The sequence below is a fragment of the Homo sapiens genome, chromosome 9 (genome assembly GCF_000001405.40).
Source record: "Homo sapiens chromosome 9, GRCh38.p14 Primary Assembly".
NCBI classification, from domain to species: Eukaryota; Metazoa; Chordata; class Mammalia; order Primates; family Hominidae; genus Homo; species Homo sapiens.
The window spans coordinates 96,177,260-96,195,585 of NC_000009.12; the positions used below are offsets into that span (position 1 = coordinate 96,177,260).

The 18,326-nt window shown below is 46.6% G+C and overlaps 1 long non-coding RNA gene across 1 annotated transcript, besides 1 other annotated feature; it reads right to left on the minus strand.

Moving 5' to 3' along the window:
- Positions 1 to 3,848: 3,848 nt before the first annotated feature.
- On the minus strand, positions 3,849 to 11,619 carry LOC107987033 (uncharacterized). Its single transcript, XR_001746574.2, has 4 exons — positions 11,359 to 11,619; positions 6,540 to 6,721; positions 5,334 to 5,502; positions 3,849 to 4,532 (listed from the first exon to the last, which is right to left on the minus strand). It is a non-coding gene; the product is annotated as an uncharacterized LOC107987033 (long non-coding RNA).
- Positions 9,830 to 10,628: an enhancer, noted in NCBI's record as "H3K4me1 hESC enhancer chr9:98949371-98950169 (GRCh37/hg19 assembly coordinates)". NCBI's record gives its function as "activates a minimal SCP1, AML or CMV promoter by ChIP-STARR-seq in naive H9 embryonic stem cells {active_cell/tissue: H9 hESC(naive)}" and the evidence as "EXISTENCE:reporter gene assay evidence [ECO:0000049][PMID:30033119]".
- Positions 11,620 to 18,326: the final 6,707 nt, after the last annotated feature.

Below are 18,326 nucleotides of genomic sequence, written 5' to 3' on the forward strand. Positions count from 1 at the left end.
GAGCCAGCTGGAGCTCCACAGCAGCTGCTCGCCTAAGACAGGGCACACAGCTCACCAGGGCACTGTGATCCCCACGCTGCCCGCCTCAGCCTTGTGAGTGTCCTGAGTCTCCTGCGGGAGGCAGCCTTGTGACTCCTGATTTAAAGTCTGAGGGTGGGTCAGACCAATGCTGGTAAAAGTTTAACAACAGACACTCTCTTGAAAAAAAAAAAAAAAAAGTAAAGATCTGATTGTAGCATTTGCCAATTTCTATTGTATAAATACTGCCACCGTAGCCTATTTCAAGCTCCCAACATTAGGTCACTGAAACTGGAGCTAGGGAAGAGATGCACGCAATTGGCTCTCACAGGCTGGTGAGAGCCAGCCTCAGCACACTGCTCGGTCACATAGACCTGAGGGCAAATGCAGACCCCCTAAGGAAGTTTCTTACCTCCACATGCCAATGTCCTCCTGTATTAACAAGGAGAAATCGTTGCCTGCCTGCTAGTACTATTGTGGGGTTTAAATAATTTCCAGTTCATCAGCTCACCATTCAAATAGCCTCCTGTTTAATCCTTGCCCTGAGGTTTTTGTCAATGCTGCATTTTTTATTTTTAAAGTTTAGATTTTTTTTTCCGCATGTTTCTGTTATTTCTAAATAACATTTTGTTTTTGCCTTCTACAGGGCCGTGATGTAGGTATTCCAGGCATCCTGTTGCCTGTGTTCCTCCAGTGTGAGATCTCTGGGCATTGCCTCTGCACACTATTTCAGACTGCTTGATTTCCACGGCAATTAGAAGTTTTTCATGAGAAATTATCTTGGGAAAGAGGTTTTCAGCAGCAGCATTGTTGCCTCTGCTACGACACATTGTAGGCACGCAGGTCTAACCCAAGTTTTTTATTAATTTATCAGCTCGGGCTTCCCACAGTGCCTGAGTAGTGTGGGCCCCCAACTGCAGGAGGGCAGCCTCTGCTTTACATTTTCAGGAGGCTCTTCTTCTTCCCCAGCCCTGAATGGGCAACGCTTCTTTGTCTGAGCCAGGGAGTGGACAGTTCTTACAGACCCCGCCTCTTTGCAGGACCCCCTTCCAGCTCCCCACCGGCCTGGCGCCAAGGCCCTCGCCCCACGGTGCGCCCCTGGCTCCAGCCCTCTCCCTGACTCTCAGTCCAGTCCTGCTCACCATGCTGACTTTGCTTCAGGGACCTGGGGATTCCCTCTCTGACTTTTGAGTGCACTATGAATTTTGGGGTTAAAATTGTTACATTTGGGCAGCAGGAGGGGACTGGATGTCTGTATGGAATGAAGAACACAGCTCCTGGCACACAGGGGGACTCCACAAACAGGGGACTGTCCTCTGGGAGCAGGAAGAGGCACAGCACAGTCCGTTTACAGGGATGTGGGGCCATGCCGGGCCACAGAAAAGGTGGGCGCCATCCAGGGCATGGGATGGGAAGGAGGCCGTGCTTGGGAGTTTAGAAGATGGCCTCAGACCAGGGACATTGAGGAGTTCTGAGCAGAAGACTCCATGCAGAAGTTCTGCCTTTACAATTTGATTCTGGAAGCAAAAGCAGGAAGGTTAATTAGGAGCCTCTTGCCACAGTAAAAGGAAGGGGCCACGGGAGTCCGGGTTAAGGGACTTGGTGTGGGGCGAAAACAAGAGATGAGATGCAAGAAACACTGCTGGGTGAAATCCGCTGCTCATAGGCCCCATTGGCTGTGAGTGAGAGGCAGGACATCAAAAGCACCTACTACTGGACTGTTAACAGGAGAACCGAGACAGAACATCAAGAACACAGGAAGCTGAGGATGTATTTAATCATATTTTGGCTGAAGTCAGATCAACAGAAGCAAATAGACCAGGTGCGGTGGCTCACACTTGTAATTCCAGCACTTTGGGAGGCCGAGGCAGGTGGATCATGAGGTCAGGAGTTCAAGACCAGCCTGGCCAAGACAGTGAAACCCCATTTCTACTAAAATACAAAAAAAAAAAAATTATCTGAGTGTGGTGACAGACGCCTGTAATCCCAGCTACTTGGAAGGCTTAGGCAGGAGAATCTCTTAAACCAGGGAGGCAGAAGTTGCAGTGAGCTGAGATCACACCACTGCACTCCAGCATGGGTGACAGAGCTAGACTCCAACTCAAAAAATAAATACATACATACATAAATAGAAGAAAATGGGAGTTGAGGCCAGGCATGGTGGCTCACACCTGTAATCCCAGCACTTTGGGAGGCCGAGACGAGTGGATCACCTGAGGTCAGGAGTTTTAGACCAACCTGATCAACATGGTGAAACCCCGTGTCTACTAAGAGTACAAAAATTAGCCAGGCATGGTGGCGCACACCTGTAGCCCCAGCTACTTGGGAGGCTGAGGCAGGAGAATCGCTTGAACTCAGGAGGTGGAGGTTGCAGTGAGCCAAGATCGCACCTCTGCACTCCAGCCTGGGTGACAGAGTGAGGCTCTGTCTCAAAAAAGAAAATGGAATGCCATCTGGAGCTCCCTGTAAACTTACAGTAAATAGGTAGCAGGCCTGTCAGCAAGATATCTCCACATGCCTGTCTAGATTTCCTCACCATTACAATTCCCATTGTGCTTGGGTAACAGGGAGCTTCAGAGGGAACTAGAGGGAGAGAGGAAGTGAGGTTTGATATTGATGCCTTCCTCCTCCCTTTCTCCTCATGGAACGCTCTAGGCTGTCTCTACCCTCAACTGCAGCTTCCCGTCAAGAAGTCTCTGTCCTGAGCACTCTCTAGTTTCCAGTAACTGAGTCCTCCCCTCATCCATTCGGGTCTCTGTGACTAGGCTCAGGGACTGCGATATTCCCTGTGGTTTCCCTACCACGAGCCCGTTGCAAGCATTTCAAGCTGGAAACAGCCACAGAAATCCTTCTGGCCAGCTTCTGAATTTTGTTGAAGAGGGAACTGGAGCCAGCACAGTGATTTGCACGAAGTGGCTGGTGGCAACGGAGAAACTAGATCGGACACAGGTGACCTGCATCTCATCTCTGTCCAGAGCTCTCCATCCTGACCATGAGCACTGGCCTCCATGATGACGGCTTCACCCTTACAAAGCCGTGAATGAGCCTATTGTGTGGGCACACATACACACACACAAGAGTGCACACACATATAGACACAAGTGCACAAAAATGTATACACACAGATACATACACACTCACACCATTGGATGCAGGCATAATCGGGTTAAAGGGTTATAAAAAGGCTTCCCGGGAGGAGCATCCTGAGGGTCTGTAGGAAAGGGGAGGGCACCCACACCACTCGCCACCCTGGCATTGGAGAGGCTTCTGGAGCATGGCGGCCCAGCTGCAGGTCTTCCCCTGTACCAGCGGGTTGGGTCACCTCCCTCACTGCTTCCTGAAGACATTGCCTGGCAAGTGCAGGCCCAGCAGGTATGATAACCACGCTTTCCAATCCAAGTCAGGAACATGTGCTCCAACAAAGACCTCTGCGGGTGCTTCCAGGTACAAGAGGCAGTCCAGGAGATGTGGTTTGAGCACTAATGTTTTGAGATTTCTGGGCATCTCCACAGTTTATGGGGGAAAGGGAATAAACCGTGGGATACTAGGATTGTACCTCAAAATTCAGGACCTGCGGTTGCTGGAGGCAGGGGAGTCAGGAGAAGGAAAGGAGGGCATTAAAACAAGGTGGGGTGAGCCCTAACTCTACAAATGTGGAAGCAAGTTCCATAGACAATTATGTCTTATTCAATACCCTTCTCAGGGCTGACGCTGTCCAGTAAGTTCCACCGCCAGAAATTCTGGCCCCCCACTTGCTGCCAGGCATCCTGAGAGTCTGTGATCTCCTGGCTGTACATCCCACAATCTAGTGGGATAAAGAGCAGCCCAAGAAGTTTTGGGGAAATTTATTTCCATAAGTTAAAACACAAACAGCAAGATTCACATTCACTATACATTTTGACAACCCCATTCCTTGATACCAACTATCACTTTTGTCACCAACTATATCCAGGTAATTTCTTGGTTTGAGTGGATTGCAAATAACCTGTGCGGATCTTTTTCTGATGTAGATATCAGACAATGTTCCCAAGTAAAGTATCTAACTTTAGACAAAATTTAGACAAAACTCGACAATCACAGCACCAACAAACAATTGGCACTAAAGAGATGTCTTAACTAAAAGTTTTACAAGTCACTTTTCCTATAGCCCTCCCAACAGACAGGGAAATAGAAGTACCCAGGGGAGAAGACTGTTCAGAAGGAATGGAAGCCAAGCTGGTGAGGATGGTGAGGCCGAGGAGGCCACAGTAGAGCCCTGGGCTCCTGCCCTGCAGCCTCTGCAGGAGATGGAAGCCAAGGAGTTGCAGCAGGTTAGAGGGGACTGTTGGCTACACAGCCTTTGTGTGAAAAGCTATTGTTCAATAACATTTTAGGACTGCACAGCTTTTTAACAAGAGCAATCTTAACAAGGAAAACGTCCTTCAGGGTTTCTTTCCGAGGCAGGCAAGCCAGGTTCACTGTTCCTCCCCCAGAGAGAGGTCTCTCCTGGGGTGCTTTCTTGTAGTGTTCATAAGCTTTTTAAAAAAAAGAAAAAGAAAAGAAAAGAAAAAAGAAAAATAGTTGGATTAGTTTATTTAAGGACAATTATATATACAGAACAACTTTTGTAAAAAGAGAGAGAGGGCTGGGTGTGGTGGCTCACGCCTATAATCCTTGCACTTTGGGAGGCTGAGGCAGGCGGATCACCTGAGGTCAGGAGTTCGAGACCAGCCTGGCCAAAATGGCGAAACCCCGTCTCTACTAAAAATACAAAATTAGCCGGGCGTAGTGGCACATTCCTGTAATCCCAGCTACTCAGGAGGCTGAGGCAGGAGAATCGCTTGAACCCTGGAGGCCAAGGTTTCAGTGAGCCGAGATCACGCCATTGCACTACAGCCTGGGAGACACAGCAAGACTCCATCTCAAAAAAAAAAAAAAAAAAGACAGAGAGAGAGAACGAGATTGCATTTGAGGCTGTGAATCTTCTCTGAGGCTGGCTTTCTCAAAATTCAGACCCTGGAGGCACAGGCAGCCCCAGCATCTCAGGGCGTGTGGCAGAGCTCTCAGCTTTTCCATGGCTTTTATTGTGGGAACTAATGATTTTTCTTCATTTAGGTTCTTTTGGGAAATGATTTGGAAAACCAGTAATGTTGCCCTCAGAATCACAGGAACTCAATCTCATAAATCAGGAAATTGAAGTCCCTTCAACAGCACCAAACAAAAACCAGCCTCAATGAAACATCGCCCCTTGGGAGGCAGATATCTGGAAAACAACCCTTCCCTCCGATGGGGTGCCTCCCTGAAGTTCGGAATCAGATGCTACTATTCGCACTCACCCGTCTTAAGGCTCTGTAAGGAATGAATGGCTGTCCATTGTGGAGTTCAGTGATACAAGACAAATTTGAGCTGCGGGATCCACCGCTCCTGTGTGACCGAAAGCAGGCCACTCCCTCTGCTGAGCACCAGGCTCTTCACTTCTGCATGAAGTCCTGGCTCCAACCCCATCTCAACATGCCATGAAAATAGATAAGGAGGAAAAAAACACACAGGAAAACTCCTTGCCCAGTAAAGAAGTGATGGTTAGTCACCCCGTGGATAGTCTGCAGGCTCCAGGCCAAATCATGCCAAGTGGGAAATTGTCTCATATAGCCAAATCCTTCTTTCAAATTTTATTTATGGCCATCAAGCTCTAACAGTTATTGTGTGCTCCCACAACATGCAGACCACCGTGACAGGACTGTGAGAAGGACAAAAGGAATCAAGACACAAAGCCGTGAAGGCATCATTTGTGGGTCAGTTTCACCATCTGCCCACTCAGTTCCTTTCACCCACGTGGGAGGGGCCCCTTTCCCCTCTCTTCCCTGCTCATTGCTGTCACGGTTCTTATTTCCTTCTGTCTTCCTCTGACCCCACTCCTCATATCAAAATCTGCTTTCCAAAAAAAAGACTCTGGTGCTTATTCATAGTACGGTGCAAATGACTGATAGCTCAAAATTCCCTAGAGAACCTTACAATTTCCTAAAGCTCAAGGTCTTTAAGCAATGAGGCTGCTCTAGTGGGATTTCTGCCATGATTGTCCAATGCAAGAGATATTGTATGGGCTGCAAGTTCTATTCAATATGCCCAAAGTCACTTTCTGTAAGTCCCATTCAGATCAGCGAATGGGAGCCACAGATGTCATTTGAAATTTTCTAGTGGAAACATCAAAAAACATTGTTATCAGAAACAGGTGAAATTAATTCTAATAATAGATTTTATTAAACCTAATATATCCAAAATATTAGTTCAACATGTAATTCATATGAAAAAATATTAAGTATTGTACATTCCCTTCCTCATACTAAATCTTCCAAACCCAATGCCTTTTATGTTTGTGGCACATCTGTTTGCACTAGCCACATTTCAAGTGTTCACTTGCCACCTGTATCCAGTGACCACCACACTGGACAGCCAAGGTCTAAACAAATGGCTGCGTAAGACACTCCCAACTTTGAAAATTGCTCAATACATAGCCAGTAAGACTACCCCTTCTTCCACGATACCTCTTCTTCCTCTGCATTCCCCTGCTCCACTGCTCCTCCTCACAGGTAACATTCAGGGAGCACCTCCAGGACGTAGCTCGCTGAAGCCTTATAATTACCCTACAGGGCAGGTGCAGGTGAGGAGAGGAGGGACATAGAAGTTGAGAACTTGGCAGCAGTCCCTCAGCTGGGAAGCAGTGAAGCTGGAATGAAGTGCGAAGAAATCATCACAAAGTGAGGAGCAGAAAAGCACATGGAAGAACAAGGCAAGTGCACGAGCACCTGAGAACATGGATATTATACACACATGTAAGTCCCTTGATTGGCAGCGGGACTGGGAAGTGTAGGGTCACAAAGCCTGTCTCCCCAGCCAGCTGTCTGTCCTCTTCTTCCAAACGAAGTCATGTAAAGCAGGAACCCCCAATCACACAGCCCTAGGTGGCTCTGTGCCTGGGGCCATTGGCCCTTCCAGACAACTAGTACTGCAAGAATGCAAAGGCAGAGGACACAAGCCTGCCTTCCAGGGGCATATAATCTAGTTGGGTAGATAATGAAAATACACCATGTGACTCAGCCCTGACAGTCAATAAACAGGCTAAGAATTCAGGGTAATCCAAGAAGGCTTTGCAGAGGAGAGGGGATTGAAGCCAAGCGTGGAAGGAGGGTAGGAAGGTGGAAGGTGTTCCAGGCGGAGGGAGCTCCTTCAGCTAAGGTTTGCAGGTGGAAAAGAGCAGGGCAGGAGACCAGCATTGGGGGCTGTGTGAGGTGAGTCCTGGTGACCGAGGGTCCCAGGCAGCACATGGGGCTTTGTGAATAGGGCTGGGGCTCCCTGCCTCAGGTGCCGGTCCTGCCCCCTACACTCTGGCTTATTCATCATCCCACCCTCCAGGTTCTCACCAGGTGGACAAAACACAGCATGATTTCTGCTCCTCAACAGCCATCAACGTTCTAACTGGGGATCCCAGTTAGGGAAGACAGCTGTGTAAGGCAGAAGCTCAGAAGAGGAGATTTAGGATCGAGATCAAGTTGATTCCCTTGGGAAGACATCCCCACATGAACCCCAGGCTGCCAACCCCCAACAGTTGAGTCCCTATTGCAGTTCTAGTTTGCTGAGTGGGAGACATTTGTTCCCCAAGATATATGGTGATTTATGTCAAAAAAAATCAAAGTGGTCCCAGCTATGCAGGAGGCTGAGATGGGAGGATTGCTTTAGCCTGGGAAGTTGAGGCTGCAGTGAGCTGTGATCACACCATTGCACTCCAGCCTGGGTGACAGAGAAAAACTCTGTCTCAAAAAGCAAAACAAAACAAAAGCAAAATGCAAGTGGCTGAAGTAAAAGCAGAGGGCAGATCAATTGTCAAACTGCAAGTCCTCAGAGTCCTGGATCCCTATCCTACCTGCCTTTCACTCTGATCTCTCCTAAGTGTCAGTTCTCACTCCCTCCCACTCTTAAGGGGAGAGCTCCTGTCCCAGCATTCCCAGAAAATACCTGGAGTTCCCTTTGCATGGGTCACACACCCACCCCTCTGCCACTGGTCTCTCAGGCCAGGATGACCACATGCCTGATCTCTCAACCTCAGCCACATCCTCCCCACAGGATCTGGAATTGGTGTGGGTTCACCAGAAACCCCTGGAGATCCTGCCCCAGCTGTTGCAAAAAGGCATAAAGAATGGATGAGAAGATACTGGGAAGCAACCATCAATTGTTCACTAGACACCACCTCTAGGTGTGCAGATCTTGCCCAGGTTTTAAGAAGAAAGTATTGTAGGGTTTGGTTTGTTTTCCAAACACTTGTCATGGGTGACAATTTTCAGGAGCAGTTTTGCTTTCACAATCCAGTTTCCCCTCCAATTATTCACAGCATAGTAAACCACATTAAACATAAATGTCACAGAATAGAAACATCTATGGCAGGGTTTCTAGTCCTTGACACTATGGACATCTTCAGTGAGATAATTCTTTGTCATGGGGGCTGCCCTGTACAGGATGCTTAGTAACATCCCTGGCCTCTACCCACTACACACCAGTAGCAATCTGTGACAATCAAAAATGTCTCCAGATTTTGCCAAGTGTCCCCTGGGGGAAAAAACTGCTCCCAGTTAAGAACCACACCCTCTTTGGGAGGCAGCCATGGCCACCCACTCAAGTTCAGGAAGAAAATACTGCCTGGGGTCAGGAGGCATTCTTGAGGGCCAGCCAGGCCTGGGCTGGAATTAGCAGCTATGCCATCCTGGGCTGGCAGGTTCACTTCTTCTCACCTGCAGCTTGGGGACAGTGAAGTACCTACCCCACTTGGTTGTAAAAAAATCATGCCGGACCACATATAGGCAGGTACACATGACAACATTTTGGTCAATGGTTGGCGTATACAATGGTGGTCCCATGAGAATTCTATTTTTACTGTCCCTCTTCTATGTTTAGATACACAAATACTGACACTGTATTCCAATTGCCTACAAATATTCAGTCCAATCACATGCTGGACAGGTTTGTAGCCTAGATGTATAGTAGGCCATACTATCTAGGTTTGCGCAAACACCACTCTGTAATGTTTGTACAACCATGAAATTACATAAAGATGCATTTCTCAGAATGTGTACCCATCGTTAAGCAACACATAACTGTATATACGTAGCCCTCACTAAAAAAGGTAGTTATCAATACCGTTTGCTATTTCCTGACACTGCAATAAAAATTGATATACTTTTTAGTCTGTGTGTTTTAGGAGAATGTTATTTGCAGGGGTAGTGGGGAACGTTTGTTTGTTTGTTCTTTTTCTTTCAAAACGGAAGCCCTGCTTTGGAAGAGCAACAAAGAAAACTGCTGCTGTTTCTGTGGTTAGACCTCCTTGAGTTTTCCCTCTTTAAACACAGCCACTCCTTGTCCTTTAGAAAGGAATGCAAGGAGAAACAAAAGTCAATCAACCTGCTGGTTGGCTGAAGGCTTCGGCGAGGCTGCGTAGTGACAGAGCTGGGTGGCCGCCCAGAGCCCGCCTGCAGCCCGCAGCCGGCCCAGCTCAGGTTCAGACACGCGCGCTGGCCGGGCAGCTGCGCGGCAGGCCCCGCACTCCCAGTCTGCGATAAACAGCTCAGGCCGTGTCTCTCCCTGTGTGGTCCCAGGCTGCAGGGGTCCCGGGGCTGCCTGCCTACATGTTTCTCATGCTAGAGAAGGGCATTCAGGATTGCAAATCTGCCATAAATAACCAACCCCTCGTCCAGATAAAGCCTATGTTCGCTCCAAAATGTTGAAGTTTGCTTTGCTTCCCTCTCCCCTCCATCCTCTCTTTTTTTAAAAAAATTATGTTCAGTGTCAGTCTACACAAGAGGATTGAAAATACCCAGTGGCAGTCATCAGGAACTTTGGAGTTTCCCAACATGACATGGAAATCTGGGAAACCGTACGGGGCGACCACACTCTAATTTTATGACCCCAACTTTATTGCCAGCACAGAGGCAATAAAGAGAAATAATAAATGAAACAGCATGCTGGAGTTCAGGAGGCAGCACCCCCAACCGAAGCTGCGTGGGGCGAGGCACAGAGCCTGTCTGTGCAGCAGCTTTCTCTTTCCAGGGAAGGGAGTGCCAACGTTCCCTCAAACACAGATTCCAGGTGGCTTCATAGAAAGATATGGCGAAGGCGGCGTTTGCGGTGAGCCTGAGCACAAGTTAGCTGCATCAATGCCAAGCATCACAGATGGGAAGGCAAACAAAAGGGTTAGGGTTGGGCTTGGGGTGAGATTGGGGGCAGGGCTCGGTTAGGATTAGGGTTGGCATTAGGGTTGGGGTGAGGAGTAGGGTAGGGTTAGGGTTGAGATTAAGGTGGATTCTCAACTGGGTGACCCAGCACACTAAAATATTAAAGCAGCTGAAAATAAAAGTAAATTGTTTGGCTTATGTGTTAATCCACAATGCAATCACTCTAAGTAAATTCAGTGTTAAATTCTTGATTATTAGCATATTTTTATGTAAGAATTTGTTCCACTACATTTTTACATTAAAAAGAAAAGATTCCTATATCCTCATCAAAAATTTTTTGGAAGAGCATTTTGTAAATTAAATTCTCATCTCTGGCACTTGTTTTTCTCGTTTGAGAAACTATATGAATCACAAAAAGTTTAACAAACATGAAAGTCTCAGTACATCGGAACTATTGGCAATGAACGGATATTTCTGTTTTTCAGATTCCAGAATTTTTTTTTAACTAAGATACGCTGCCTACATTAAAACTAATATGTCTACATATTCATAAAAACAATGTGTAATCACACCGAAGAAATGGGAAGCCCACGTTATTGGTTTTAAATTCTTTTAATCCCATAAAATTGTCATGGTGTTGACTCTTAGTGACTATTAAATAAATTATTCCAACATGGAATCAGGAAACAACAGAAAATTGAGATAAAAATAATAGAAAGACGTGCACACACCTATGTATCTATGAATATTTTAGAAAAGCTGATATAATAGACATAACTGAAGTATGCTCCAGAAAATATTTAGCAATAAATTGTAAAGTGTGTCCAACTAAATGTAAAAGGACCAACATGTAGTGAGTGAATTCCTGAAGGTGGAAATCTACATCCCCATTGTTGGTCTCAGCTGTTGGCACTGACTTCTTCTGGGAGGTGCTGTGAGTGCACTGCACTGGCCACAGAACTCGGGGGTCTGCTGAGGTCCCTCCCGTGGCTGTTAACTCGTTCCCATCATCTCTGATTCATGGTTGGCCATCCTGCCTTTGTCCTCAGGCTCCTCACCTTTGGAAATGAGGATAAGATCCCATGGCCAGTTTAAGACTCAGTGATAAAACATAAATGAAATCAAAGGAGCCCAATTCACATACCACTCGGAACAGCCACACAGAATCCTCATAAGAAGTTGTCCTGGAGCAAGATAGCTCCATCCCCACTGTCGTTTTGCCAAAGAGGTTTTTCTCCTTTGTTTTGGGGTTTTCCTTAAACTCGTTTATGAAATCATTTTGTGACAAACACAAAAGGAGCCAAGCCAGAAGTCGCCCTGCCCACACAGAGGCTTGGCCCCAACACAGCTTTTTGTTCTCACACACTTTCACTCTGAAGGAAGAGGATGAATTTTTATTTCTTGTATTTGGAAATGCTGCCCATATTTCTGTCTCAGAATGGAATCAGGCCTCAAAATCGAGGTGACACAGAAGCCAGAGCCAGTTAGAGTCTTGCAGCAGCTCTGGACTTGGTATAATGCTGGTTTTGGTCTGTGGCCTTGGGCCTCCAACGGCAGCTGAGAGTCTTTTAAACACTCTGAGCTGTGTTTTCATCAGAGTCCCTGAGGAAGTGATCCGTGGAGAACGTTTTTATGAGGGCTCCTGTCCCCCAACTAGCCTGTGGCCATGGGGTTGATAGGGTTCTCCTCTGGGTCACTGGTTCACAGCACCATGTCAGCCTTGGCTGAAGAACTGGGCCTTCTGCAGACAGACCCCCAAACTCTGAGGTATGGGGGTCAATAAGGAGAGCTGGGGGTCGTCCAGGCCATTCTATTCCTATGTAGCCATTATTTCTATTCCTCAGGCATCCTTGCATTTCATCACAGAGGTGAAATGCAGGCCACAGAATCTCCTCACCTCTTGATTTGCTACTCCTTCCCTACTCCCGAATGTCTGTTTAGGACCCTTATGGGACCAAAGATAGATCCTCCCTGGGGTCATCTAAAATATACCACCAGGCCAGGTACAGTGGCTCATGCCTGTAATCCCTGCATTTTGGGAGGCTGAGGTGGGCAGATCACTTGAGGCCAGGAGTTTGAAACCAGCCAGGCCAACATAGCAAAAACCCTGTCTCTGCTAAAAATACAAAAATTAGCTGGGTGTGGTGGCACATGCCTGTCATCCCAGCTACACAGGAGGCTGAGGCACGAGAATCACTTGAACCCAGGAGGTGGAGGTTACAGTGAGCTGAGATCGTGTCACTGCACTCCAGCCTGGCTGACAGAGCAAGACTGTGTCTCAAAATAAATAAATAAATAAATAAATAAATAAATAAATAAATAAATAAAATGCATCTCCAGCCCTCAGTGTACTCACAAATTGAGGTCCTCAGGTAAAGCTACCATTTTAGGTCTCACTGGCTAACCAAATCTCTGCCTCCACCACACTCTGGGTTTGCAGATAATTGGTAGGAGATTGTCTTTCTTTGATGTTGAATCTAACAAAGGATCACTCTCTCCAGGCTCCCTCAAGGAGATCTTCTCCCTCAAAGATGGGTTGAAAAAGAGAGGCAGGTACCTGCAGCAAATAGAACCTTGTTCCAGATAACTATTGCTTCTTAACAAACTACTTCAAAACTTAGTGGATTAAAACAACCACCACATTATGTTATCTCATGATTTTATGGGTGGGACTTTATTGCCAGGAATTTGGGCAAGGCTCAGCAGAGCGATTCTTCTGTTTCATGTGGCAGCCATGAAGGTCACTCAGTGGTATTCAACTGGCAGATGACTTCACCCACACGTCCAGCACCTTGGCAGGGGTGGTTGGAAGGCTGGACTCAACTGGGACTGTTGATCAGAGTGCCCATGTGGCCTCCCTGGCACCACTGACTCAGGAAAGCTGAACAGGGGCCCAAGGGTACCTGGCAGCTCAGGGCTCCAAAGGTGCATGCTCCAGCCTTGCTTCATATGATCCAACCTCAGAAGTCATGTGTCATCACTCCAACACACTCCATTGGCCAAAACAGTCACAGCCCTTCCCAGATTCAAGAAATGGGAACATGGATCCCATCTCCCCACGTAAGGCATGTAAAAAACTTTATGAGGTCTCGTCTGCTAGTTGCAAGAGCTGCTACCTCAGAATCCTGGTTTTTCTAATCTCAGTGGCTGAAGAGTCCAGTGCTACCTACCTATTTTCCCACCTTACAGAACTCCTTGTGAAAGTGCCCCTGCCTCCCACCCAACCATTACCCATACCTGCAGGCATGTGCCACCAGCGACTTATACCAGGCTCTTCTTCAGAAACATGATTTGACAAAACTTGTTCAAGCTCCTCAAGACACATGTTAACGAAATGAGTCTTCTTAAGTCCCTGGGTTGAAAACTTCAATGACTTCCCACCACACACAGAATAAAATCCAAACTCCTTACTGCAAACTCTAACAATCTGTTAGCCTGCCCTTGTCTGCCTCTTTAAGCCTTCATTTCTAGTTTCTTTCCCCACTTGTCCTCTCCAGCCACACTGGCCTTCCTCTCTCCAACTCACCAAGCTGTTCTCACCTCAGGGCCTTTGCACATCCTGTTAATTCTGCCAAAAATGTCTGTCCCTTCTTCTTCACTTGGCCATGTGCTTTGAATCTTTCAGGTATATCCCAAATGTCATGAACTCAGGCCTCTCCCCACCATCCATTTTACTTTTTATAACATTACTCTGGTCTACTGACTTCATGCAGGCATCTAACATTATCCCATGAATTAATGTTAATCTACATGAGAGTACTTTGTCTGTATTCCTTGAACTCTGTTCTGTTCCTGGCACATGGCAAATACTCAACTGATACTGAATGAGTGAATGAATGAAAGAATAAGTGAATGAATTCCCCTGGCTGACTTCTCAACCTCACTGGCAGGACTTCTCTCTTTTTGGCTCAAAGTGATATATCACACTACTGGATCAGAGCCCTCCACCCACCAAAATCACTTGGAGGGAGTTACAGTCAATCTATCTCATGCTTCCAGCTGTGCCTGGGCTCAGACACATGGGAGACTGGGTAATGCCTTTCCATGTGTACCCCAGGAACAAAATGCAAATGCAGGCCCAGGAAAAGTCTGGATGTCACATAGTGCTCCAAGGTAATTCTGCACCTTAAGCCAATAGCATACCTGGTCTTCACTGAGCATCCATGCACCAAATTTGTAAATAAATCTTCATTTGCCAAGAAGGTCAGTTAAGACTGCTTAACCTTAACAAGAGACAGTAGAGCCAGATAGCCAGTGTTCATACCCTGCACTTCACACTTACTCCAACTGGGATGCTTACCTAACCCTTGTGTTTCTCAGTTTCCTCAGCTACCAAATGGTGTTGGCAACAACAATAACAATACCTGACTCATGAGATTGTTACAAGAATCAAAATATATGTAAAGGACTTAGAACACCACATGGCACCTAGTAAGCAATCAGTAAGTATCAATTGATTATTCACCTAATTTTCAAAGCCTTTTACAAGCCTGTCCCCACCTACCCTGATAAAAACAAAAACCTTCTCTCCTTTATTCAGTTTACCTGACCCTCTTCCCAAGCTAGACTCATCTTCTCACTCTGAGAATCCAGTGTGGGTTTCAACAGCCGTGCATTTGCCCGTGCTGGGAATCTGCCTCTGCATGGTTAACCTGATTCCTGTGGCCACAGGAATCACACATAGCCAAATCCCAACTTTCCTCCCTGAATCAGCTCAAACCCCAACTTCTTCAAGCTACAAAAAGTTCTTTTCTTCCTCCAAAGCCCTCTATATAATAGCATAAGATATATAATTCATTGATCAATTAATCCTATGGTACCTATGGTTTCCAGTTATTTAAATCCTTTATATATTTGTCAGTTCGTTTTTCGTATGTAGAGAGATCCCATCTCCTCAGCTAGACAAAGTCTCCTGGAGAACATCACTACTGGACGTGCTAGAGAATAGGCCCTTGAAATATTAACCTTGAATTGCCATGATTGCTACCTGGAATTTGTCCAGTACATTTTAGACACAACTGGACAAATAGCCTTAATAAAGTTTAAGCTGTATTAAGGCACTCAAGTCCAATTAGAAGATAGTGTTTTAAATAGTAGTTTTCCTGTTGACAGCACCACAGATCTCATCAGTCTCTCTTTAAACAGCCAGGCTACCAGCATGCATCCTCAGTGTAGATAGGGAAAGAATGGATCATATCCACAGTCAATATCTTGACTCTAGGACTTGTACTTACCTGGTTTTAAAAATTAAAGCTAAAAGGACTCATGATTGTGTGAAGCAGAGTCCACACCACCCAACAGTCTGACTCTATAGAGAGAAATAATGACAAGCCCCAAGCAGAGAGTTCAACAGCTGAACTGCCAGCCAACAACTCAAGAAAGAAGTGTCAACTTAGGGACTGAATGATGGACCACAGCCATGCCCAACTGCCCTGCTGAGAAAGAACCAAGAGAGCTTGTGGATAAAGAGGATTAATCAGTAACAGGAGTGTCTTGAGGCTAAATGTGGCTGGTGGAACTGGGGCAACTGCTTCCATGTATAACCTCTTTTGCTTTGAGTCTTTTTTTTTCAGATATGTTTTTTAAAATTTAGAACTGCAGCTAAACTCAGCACCATCTTCCTTTGAGCAGTCACTTGTCCAGTTTCTTCGTCTGTTTTGTGTTGCTATAACAGAATCCCCGAGACTGGGTAATTTATGAAGAAAAGAGGTTTATTTGGCTCATGATTCTAGTGGCTGGAAAGTTTAAGATTGGTCAGCTGCATCTGGTGAGGACCTCAGGCTGCTTCCACTCAGGGCAAAAAAAGGGAGGGGAGCAAGTGTGTGCAAAGAGATCACAAGGTAAGAGAGGCAGCAAGAAAGGGAAGCCGAGGAAGTCAGACTTTTTTTAACCTAATCCATTCACAAGAGCAGGAACTCACTCACTCCTGAGGGAGAGCATTAATGTATTCATGAGGGATCCACCCTCATGACCCAAATACCTCTCATTAACCCCCACCTCCCAACGCTGCCACACTGAGATCAAATTTCAATGTGAATTTTCGTGGGGACAAACCAAACCACAGCAATTTATTCCTAAGACACTCCTGGAAGGTCCCTAGGGGTTTGCTTTTATAGTCTTACTCTTCTCAGAAGAGGTCTATGGTCAGAATCCTGCTCTGTGGACCACAGGTATGCTGGGAATCCCACGGTGTAAACACCTTGCAGACTAGAATTCATCCAAAACTTTTCGAATACCTATAGGGAATTAGGACAGTCTTCTGTTCTCATATTTAAATATTTCCTGGAGCACATCCACCTGGAAAGGCCAAATAGCCTAGACTTCTACTTTTGCCAGACTGCAATGGGATGACCAACCTTTATGCCAGGGTGGTGTCAGAGCAGGTGGAGTGGGGAGCCAGGACCTTAAATCCACTGTGCAGTGACCAGCATCTCCCACATACACACACACACCCCCAAAGTGTTAGTAGAGACCATGTAGGGAGCCCAGACTCCCATCCCCACCCAGCAGTAATGAGGCACCTCTCCCCTCCCCACTGGAGTGGCATCAGAGGAGGCCAAGTGGAGTGTCTAGATTTTCACTTCCATTCAACAATAAAAGGGCCACATCCCCCACAGTGTCAGAGGAGGCCATGAGGGAGCAGTAACAAGACAACCCTCCCTATCCCAGCCAGGGTGGTCTCCACAAAAGGGGAAGTGATATTCTGATTAGGCCAGCAGGATCAGTTTCTCAATGTGAGCCTGTCCCAGTATCTTACAAGACCTCATTCATGTGACTAGAACAGCTCTAAACTGTAGCCACAACTGCAAACATAATGCCAACCGTAACCTGAATTTTCAGACCTGTCCACTTTGGGGGGGCAACTGTCAGAGGCTCACTTTCCTATGTCCCTAGCTGAGTCCTCTATTTACCAAATCCAAAATCAATGCCCACCAATTCCTATGGAGTTGGGATTTTGTTTTAAGCACGATGGGAAAACAACGGAGTGGTTTAAGTGGGGTCATTAAATTTGATTTCTGTGTTTTACGCTTATCTCTTTTAGAGTTCTGAGGGTCACAGATCTTCGGAAACGGCAAGAGTGACCACAAGGAGCTCAGCAAAGGTCATGGTCAGGTGGTAGGCAAAGGTGGCTTGGACAAGGGCAACAGCAGTAGAAACCATGAAAAATGACCAAATTTAACACACATTTTTAGGGTAGAGCCAGAAGGACTTGCTGTTGGATTGGACATGGAGTGTGAGAGAAGATGAGGAACTGGTGTTTCCAGTCAAAGCACTGAATGGGGAAATCATTAACTGGGCTGGGAAAGGCCGAGGTAGGAGTGGGTTTGGAGGTAAGGAAGGAATTATGTTTTAGACACCACAAGTCTGAGATGCCTATTAGACATCCATACTTTACAGAGAAAATAAATAACATCATCGGTTGGGCACTCCCTCATCTTCTGCTGTCTAATCTAGTGTCCAGAAGCATCTCTGTGCACCTCCCTGTCCCTTCCTATTGCCATGGAGGACGTCCCAGGTATCCACGTCCATCCTCTCTACCTTACCTCCTCTCACCTCCACAAGGCCTTGCCCTCTAGAAACATTCTCCTCTCTGTTTTTTGTTTTTGTTTTTGTTTCAGACAGTCTCACTCTGTTGCCCAGGCTGGAGTGCAGTGGCACGATCTCGGCTCACTGCAACCTCTGCCTCCCAGGTTCAAGCGATTCTCCTGCCTCAGCCTCCTGAGTAGCTGGGATTACAGGCGCCCGCCACCACACCCGGCTAATTTTTGTATTTTTAGTAGAGACGGGGTTTCACTATGTTAGTCAGCTGGTCTTGAACTCTTGACCTCATGATCTGCCCACCTCGGCCTCCTAAAGTGCTGGAATTACAGGCGTAAGCCAGCGTACCTGGCTCTCTTCTCTGTTTTTGGAACGTGATGCTCTCCTGGTTTTACTCTAACCCCCAGCCATCCTTCCAGACCCATTTTGTTGGCTTCTCCTTCCTCTACCAGACCTCTAAGCCTTGGGAAGCTTGAGGACTCACTCATGCTCCAACCTAGTGATATCATCCAGTTTTATGATTCTACATTCCACTTACACCCTAATGCCTCTTAAATTTTTTTCTCTATCACC